Source organism: Homo sapiens, chromosome 5 (genome assembly GCF_000001405.40).
Source record: "Homo sapiens chromosome 5, GRCh38.p14 Primary Assembly".
In the NCBI taxonomy this organism is placed as follows: Eukaryota; Metazoa; Chordata; class Mammalia; order Primates; family Hominidae; genus Homo; species Homo sapiens.
In genome coordinates this window covers 172,529,056-172,537,388 of record NC_000005.10, presented here as the reverse complement: position 1 = coordinate 172,537,388, position 8,333 = coordinate 172,529,056, and the positions used below count along the sequence as shown (strand labels likewise).

The 8,333-nt window shown below is 46.7% G+C and overlaps 1 long non-coding RNA gene across 2 annotated transcripts in view, besides 1 other annotated feature; it reads right to left on the bottom strand.

The window, feature by feature from the left end:
• Positions 1-940: 940 nt before the first annotated feature.
• The window catches only part of LOC105377727 (uncharacterized), a 57,398-nt gene continuing 50,005 nt past the window's right edge, over positions 941-8,333 (bottom strand). For both annotated transcript variants that reach the window (XR_941225.3, XR_001742994.2), the window contains exon 2: positions 941-1,910. This is a non-coding gene — a long non-coding RNA (uncharacterized LOC105377727). The remainder of the gene's footprint in view (positions 1,911-8,333) is intronic.
• Positions 3,671-3,740: an enhancer, noted in NCBI's record as "active region_23638". NCBI's record gives its function as "activates an Ori minimal core promoter by ATAC-STARR-seq in GM12878 lymphoblastoid cells {active_cell/tissue: GM12878}" and the evidence as "EXISTENCE:reporter gene assay evidence [ECO:0000049][PMID:35858748]".

Here is an 8,333-nt window from a genome sequence, read left to right as displayed (position 1 = left end):
CAAAATACAGATTTGATAAAAGACTTGTATCCCAAATATATAAAGTGCTCTCACAGTTCAGTAATAAGAAAATAAACAATCCAATTTTTAAAATTGGCAAAGGAGTTGAACACATAACTTCATCAAAAAAGAGATGTAGATAAGAACATGAAAAATGCTTGACATCATTAATCATTAGGTAAATGCACATTAAAACCACAATGAGATTACACTACATACTATTAGAATGGCTAAAAAATTCTTTAAATGCTGACAATGCTAAGTGTTGGTGAGGATGTGGAGCAACTGGAACTCTCATTACGTGGCTGGTACAGCCATTTTGAAAGCAGTTTGGCAGTGTCTTACCAAGTTAAGTATCCACTTACCAATATGACCCAGCTATGCCACTCCTAGAAAAGAAAATCTGTTCACACAAAGACGAACATGCAAATATAGTAGCTTAATCCATCATTGCTAAAACTAGAAACAACCCCAAAATCCACAATTTGAGTTATATCCACACAATGGAATACTGCTCAGCCATAATAGAAATAATTTATTAATACACAGAAACAACATGGATGGATCTCAAAGGTATTATACAAGTGAAAGAAAGAAGCCAGGCACAGGCCAGGCACAGTGGCTCATGCCTGAAATCCCAGCACTTTAGGAGGCCAAGGCGGGTGGATCACTTGAGGCCAGGAGTTTGAGACCAGCCTGGGCAACATGGAGAAAACCCATCTCTACTAAAAATACGAAGATTAGCCAGGTGTGGTGGCGCACATCTGTAATTCCAGCTACTGAGGTGGTTGAGGCACGAGAATTGTTTGAACTCATGAGGCAGAGGTTGCAGTGAGCCGAGATCACACCACTGCACTCCAGCCTGGGTGACACGGCGAGACTCTATCTCAAAAAATAATAATTTTTAAAAAAGAAAAGAAAGAAGCAAGACACAAAAGGCTACATTTAGTGTGATTCCATTTATTCAACTTTCTGGAAAAGGCAAAGCTATAGAAATCAGGTCAGCGATTGCCAGGTGCTGGGGCTGGGGAAGGGATAAACAGCAAAGGGGCATAAAGGAACTTTCTATGGCGATGGAAATACTCTACATCTTGATCATAGTGGCAGATATACAACTGTATACATTTGTGAAACTCATAAAATGGTACAATTAAAAAGTGTGAATTTTATTTTACATAAATCATCCCTCAGTAAAACTGAAAAAACAATAAGTGAGGTTGGCCAAACAAAACATTCATTTGACAACAAAAATTTATTGAACATATACTATGTGCCATCAACAAAATGGATAAGGGTCCTCCTCTCATAGAGCTTCTGTCCCTCTGTCATGTGTGTGTGCATGAGTCTCAGTCAGTACGTTTATTGATTTCGTGGGTTGAAGTCCCTCTAACTTGTCTGCTTTTGTTTGCTCTCTGGCATTTTTAAATAGTTGTTTTAAAATTTCATCCACAGTTGATCGTTGTTGTCTGTCAGAGGATTAGTCTGATACAATCTATTCCACTAAGACTAGAACTAGGACTGGGGTGAGATGAGGACATTGATGCTGAGAAAACTGTGATGACTTTGGAGACGTCACAAATAACCCCAACAATAAGCATACATGATTCCAGAATAATTTTAATATTCAGCTATTCTAGTATTTCATAACATGCCTGCAATCCTGATTACATACAGTGTTGTTAGGAAATGGAAGATAATCAGTGTGTTCCATGTACTAATAAATATGTATGTATGCATTTATTTATTTATTTATTCACTCAACAAACATGAGCTGGGACAGAGCCAGTGCAAAATGATAATTTAGAGCTCCTTGTTCAAAGATCATGAAAAAAGCGCTGTTAAAGTTTCTTCTTTCTTCCATGGTCTTTCTCTTGACTTCTTATGATGCTATTCATTTGCTATTTGATGTTCTAAGTAAAGAAAAAATAAAATTTTTTATTACTGGCATGAATTTACTGTTCATCTTTATATTGTGAAATTCCAGTTTCAAATGCAAAAGAGCGAGCATTTAATGCATTATCAAAATCACTGAAATTACAGTTTGTATTATGTGGCTCAACCCTATGGGAGTGCCTTAAGTGGCCATAAGAGACAAACAAGCCAGAAACAAGGCTGAAAAGAGGAGGAGAGGAACACACACACACACACACACCCAACACACACACACACCCATACCTACGTACATACACACATACACACACACCTGACACAGAGCCAGCTGCTGGAGCATTCCTGGGTACAGGGATACTCTCTCTGGTATGGGGGATACTAGCAGGGAGAGGACAGAAGTTCACAAGTGCCTGGGGCCTTACCCTGCAACATGGGACACGCATGCTTGCTTGAGTCTGAGGGCAGCTGGGTTCACCCTCAGCCAGTGACTGGACTGACAAGACCTGCCCTGGCTAGGGCGGGGTCTGGGGAAGCTGAGCCAAGCCTGCCTCTTCCCACAGCCTGTTCTCCAACCCACCGCAGACAGGGATCCTTGGGAATGTTTAACGCTCTAAGCCAACATGCTCTGGGTACCTGGATCAGGGGTGGGCGAAAGGCTGGACCTGGCTGAGACACAGCCTCCAGCTGGCCACCCACCAGATGCACTGTGGTGCTTAACCCTGGAGCATGCCCTACCAAAAGATGCCACCAAGTGTGCATGCCTACCCCTAATCCTCTGTGTGCCTGCTGGGTGGAGGACAGCAGCAGTCATAGGGCAGGGGCAGGGGGTGGAGGTGGAGGGATGGGTATCTGACCCACCCTGGGGAGGTGATGGAAGGCAGGACTGTGCGAGAGCTGAGGCTCCAAGTCCCTAAAGCATGCTTAGGGGTCCCATCAGACTTCACTTACGAAACACAAATTCAAAAAAAAATTATTAAAAATTTCAAGACAATGATGGTGACATCACACGTGGTGACCAAGGCCCCATCTTTCTAGGGCCTTATGTGATGGCACTGGTCGCAAGCCCATGAAGCCAGCCCTGGGTGATGCCCAACCAGAGATGAGTCAGACACAATTCCTGCCCTCTGTTTATGTCATCAGGCAACAAGCATGTGTCAGGCACTTAGGCTAGGCACTGAAGACAGAGGAGAGACCACTAGGAAAAGTGTCCCCACTCTTAAAAAGCTCACAGCCTGGCTACAAGGCAGGCTGACCTCTGCTTGGTAGCCAGAAACAATGGGATCCCAGGGGCAGGGGCTGCCAGCCAAGCCTCAGGGGTCCAGGGAGGCTCCAGGGAAAAGCAGAATTCATGCAGGATCTGGAGAATGGGATCTGGGTGAAGACATGGTGCAAGAACAAACAGTCCAGGCAGAAACTGGGTGTGCCAAAGCCCCAGGCTGGAGGGAACTTGGCATTTCGAGATACTGAAAGGAATGCCTCATTATTCAGAGTGATAAGCACTGTGCCATCCCACAGAAACGTCCACACTGAATTTTTCACTGTAATCTCAGCCTCCTATTTATTACTGTGACATGAAGTGCAGTTGCCTGATGACCCACCTGGGACACACTGTGTCTGTGAGTCTGGTGGGCGGTTATTAGAGAAAGTACAAGTAGTCCCTGACTCTCTCTAGTTTCATTTATAGCATGGTCTGTCGGCTTAACGAGAACATGTGGTCTCCCCACAGTGGCTCGGCCTGCCGGGTTCAATCAGGGGCCCTGCTGCCCACCAGATGCCCACGTTAGGGCCCAGGATTCTGCCCCCACTCCTGGGCTCCCCCTCCCCGACTCTTCACACCAGTTGGGCTGTAGCCTAGTCCTCCTCCCACCCCTACCTCTGTGTGGTTGCTGCAAAGACCAGAGATTCTCCTGTGGCGATATATACAGCTTTAAATACTTCACGTGACAGTGAGGCTTGTGGCTTGTACGGGACACCTGAGCTCTTTTTGTATCTGTCTGTGCTGTCTTCCTTTTTTGCAACTTGGCTCTGACCCAGCATGTAAACATGGATTAGTCTTTTGTACTTTTTGCAGGTTGTATAATACCAGTACAGTGTGAATAGAATAAAATAAATGCTTGCAAACTAAAAAGAAGAAGAAGAACCTCATGCCCAGCCCTCCCAGTTCAGGGAAGGCACGAAGAAAGCCTCCGCCCGGAAGCACCTTTTCAAGCCCCCGAGCTCCCTGTGATTGGACCAGCTGGGATCACGTGCCCATCTCTGAACCGATCAATCCTGTGGCCAGGGTAGTCAGTATATTGACCGGCAGAGAGTAGGGTGGGTCCCACTCAAAGCAAGAAGATGGACGATTGGGGAGCTATGGTTTCCTAAAAAAGAAATTACGGGGCCACTTCCAAAAAAGGGGTTGGATGGGGCAGCCAGAACACCCCTCAGAAGTCGACTATCCCTGTCTTTTCCTATTGATGCTAATATCCAGCCACATGGCTGGTGTAGTGGAGAGAACGCGGCTAGTCTGAAACAGACCTGAGTGCTAGTTCTGGTTTCTCTCCTCTACTGTCTGTGGGTCTCTGGGCTACAACTCCCCGAGCCTAAGATCCCTCCTTTATTAAAAATGCCGGTGAGAATACACAGCAAGCTGTGAGGATTAAATACAAGGAAAGTGCCTGAAATGCAGTAAGTGCTCAATCAATGCTAATTAGCAGCTACACAAACAGTGTCTTGCACCCACACAAATACACAGCCTTCGAAAATGCTGATTCACTTTTCTGGAATGCACTTCTCTCATCAGCACATCCCCCCAAACCCCATTCTTCCACACACCACCCACCCTGGGTGCCTCCTCTGTGTACTGTTACAGCAGAGTGGTTAAAAACATGCCATTTGGACCGGGCACGGTGGCTCACGCCTGTAATCCCAGCGCTTTGGGAGGCCAAGGTGGGTGGATCACCTGAGGTCAGGAGTTCAAGACCAGCCTGGCCAACATGGCAACACCCTGTCTCTACTAAAAATACAGAAAATTAGCTAGGCGTGGTGGCGGGCACCTGTAATCGTAGCTACTTGGGAGGCTGAGGAAGGAGAATTGGTTGAACCCGGGGAGGCGGAGGTTGCAGTGAGCTGAGATTGCACCACTGTACTCCAGCCTGGGTGAAGAGCGAGACTCTGCCTCAAAAAAAACAAAACAAAACAAACCAACAAAACTTCACATTTGGAGTCAGATAGCACTGAGTTCAAATCCACATAACCTCTTGGAGCTCCAAGTTTTCCGTTTGTAAAATGGGCACAACAGTACTCATCTCGAGGTTGTTAGGAGGATTGAGCAAGCATCCAGGCAAAGTGCCTAGCACACAGAGTAGATACTCAATGAAGATGAGCCTTTGTTATGCATCCCACCATTTTGTAAGTACCTTTTCTATGCCAGCCTCTTAGGCTAGAATGGGAGCTTCTAGATGGCAGGGGCTCTGCTGGAGTCACAGCTTCGTTTCACTTTCACCCATGACCCTACTGCCTTCATGCCCAAGCAGGACCTGGTGTCAAGCAGGTGCCCTGGAAATGCTTAGAGGATGCTTGGATGAGAGCCACCTCTTGCTGCAGGAAGACTGCCTGCCTTCTGCGAAGAAGGTAAGGTAGGCCAGTTTCTTCCTTCCCACTCACCCCCTTTCTCACTTGCCAGCTGCTGTCACTGTTCTGCACTTGGATGGGGATGGCAGGGAGAATGGAGGGGAGGTAAAAGGGGACAGGAGAGGGTCCACTTGATGGGGACTGCCTTATACTGTCCTCTGCTTGCAAGCATAAAGCTGATTCTCGTGGGTGCTTTTGTGAGTTCTTCAGAGACCTCCCCCCCCAGTGCTAGGCCCTCAATGTGGGTGATGTCATCTCTTGAGTCTCATTGCTTCCTCTGTCGATAGCCTTTCGGAATCAGCTGCCCCCTCCAGCTTCCAGCTGCTAAGAGCTCACCTTCTCCTGGGGAGGGGGCCTTTTGGACAGACCTTGGATGGTCTCATTCCAGCCCTTTTGCCCTGTGGCCCTCATCTAATCCATGGGAAATGTCCATGTATGCCTTCCCCAAGAAACTCGAGAAGGTGGCCAATCCCACTGCGGCCACAACCTCTCTTTCACGTCTGCTGTTGGGGCAGTCAGTGAAATCACTAAGATGGTCTTATCTTGTCGATTTTCCAAGCGAGAGCCAGACACTGCCCACTACTGTATCCCCTGACTGCAAGGGACAGGGATGAAGCCCTCCAAGTGTTCTATTGAAATTCCTCTCTCTTGACCTGAAGTAAAAGAAAAAGCACTCTTGGGATAGGGTGGGGCTCCTGGCCCCAGCTCCTCTCCCAAGCTTCATTCGCTTCCTTTTTACAGCCTCCACGTGAGTGAGGGGCTGAAGAGTCAGGTCACCAGAGGCTGGATAAATCATTTCACAAGTGCCCAGGGGAACTCATCTCAACATGTAATTTAGTTTCTGATATTTATTGTGTCATGGAGCTTCCTCTGAAATTTTCAGTTTCACTTCTTACTACTTGAATGAATAAAGAACTCGAACACATTTTGGGGATCGGTAGGCTGAATTTCCCCACCCCCACCAAGATGTCCACGTTTCTCCATCTGTAGGTTAGAAAATCCTAAAGGAGTTACTTCTCAGCCCTTAAAATCAGTAAACAGGCTCTGGACTCAAACAGATTCCGGATTCTATAGGTGACTTCTGGCTTCTCCTCTTAACGGTTGTGTGATTGTAGATAACTTATCTTACGACTCTGTGCCTCAGTTTCCACTTCTGTAAAATGAGATGCTAATAGTGTGTGCTTGACGTGTTCTGCGAGGATTACCTGAGGAGTACGTGGGAAGCATTGGCCTGGTGCCCGCCGAGGGCTCACTGTTGTCTCCTGCTGTGGTGCTGATGGGCCTGCCCTGAGCCTGCCTCTGGAGTGGGCATCAGCAGACCCAGCTCCTCTGGCCCCTCCTTCAGCACTCTGCACATACAGTGAAGCCAGATGCAGGTTTGAAGGACTTGTGTACTGTCAGTTCTAACCCTCGCCACTTTCCTAGGGGGTCACTAGCCATCTCCTGCCTCTTGACATTCACCCAATGTCTTGTCACTACCTTGTCCTTCTAGTAAAAATGGCAGCACCATCCCTAGTGTTTTCATTCAGTCTCTGTTGATTGTGAGGTACTTCATCAAGTTGAATATTTGTCCTTTTGGAGGCTTCTCAGCACCATGCCCATCACTTCAGTTTGTGAACCCCCTGACACTGTGTATGCTCCTGGAAGATTCAGGGCCCCCAGGCCTCCCCCAAATCGAAATGGGGATCTACTCTCCCTCTCACCACTCCCTGTTGACCAGGGTGTGTGAAGTGCTCCCACGTAGAGCTTGGCATTCAAAGTGCCAAGTGCCAGAGGGATACCCATGGTCAGGACAAAAGTGCCTAGGCCACCCTATTCCTGATAAGGACAAAAACTAAGTGGTGTCCATGCCTCTCACCTCCTCACTCCCCCATGCTACCTCCTCTGTACCATCAGGGTTGGGAGTCTGCAAACTTTCTCTCCCAGTTTCCCTTGCAATGACCTTTTATTAGGGTCTGCCAATGGGACGCATTCACAGGAAGTTAGAAGGTAGAAGAAGGGAGAAGCCATTTGTTTCAGGTTTCTGGCAATGGCTTTCAGCAGCAGCAGCAAACAACTGAGCATAACTGCAGGGGACTTCCAGTAGCATCGATGTAGCTGCATCTGCAGGAGTATGGCCCTGGGATTCCTACCCAGCTACAGTAAGGAGGTTTTAACAGCAGGAGCAGTGGCACCTCCAGCAGCTCAGTGGGGCATGTGGGCTCTCAGGCTCCAGCCCAGGGACTGGTGGCAGCTTCCTGTCCTGTAGAAAACAGCCTTATTCTTCCTTGTGAGTCTTCTCTCTTTTGCTTGTCAGCCCTTCCAACATCTTTGTAATGAATTCCCTGTATTAAATACCTACTGTTTGAAATATCTAGAGTGGTTTCTGATTTTGACTGTTATTGTGTTTCCTGATTCTTGATCCCCCCTAGATCTATTTTGTTCTGCCCACTTATCAAGCCTGAGTCTACAGCCTCCCATCAATTCTATGAGCCCTGATATGCCTTCTAAAAGTCCCCTTTCTCTTTAAAAGTCAATTTCTGCAGCTTCCAATCAAGAACCCTTACTCTAAACCATTAATTTGATTTTAGCTTGTAGGTTTACAAATATTAGATAAATAAAATAATAGCTAATATTTGCTGAGGCTTTTCTGTGTGTCTGGCACTATGCTCAATCATATCTGTTTTTTAATTTATTCCTCACAATAACTAGGTGAGGTAGATATTATTACCAGCACCATGTTGCATACACAAAATGGAGGTTGCTGCAAAGTTAAGTCATTTGATTTAACTTTTCTACAGCTTGGAACTGGTAGAACCAAGATTTGAACTAAATTCATCCAATGAAAG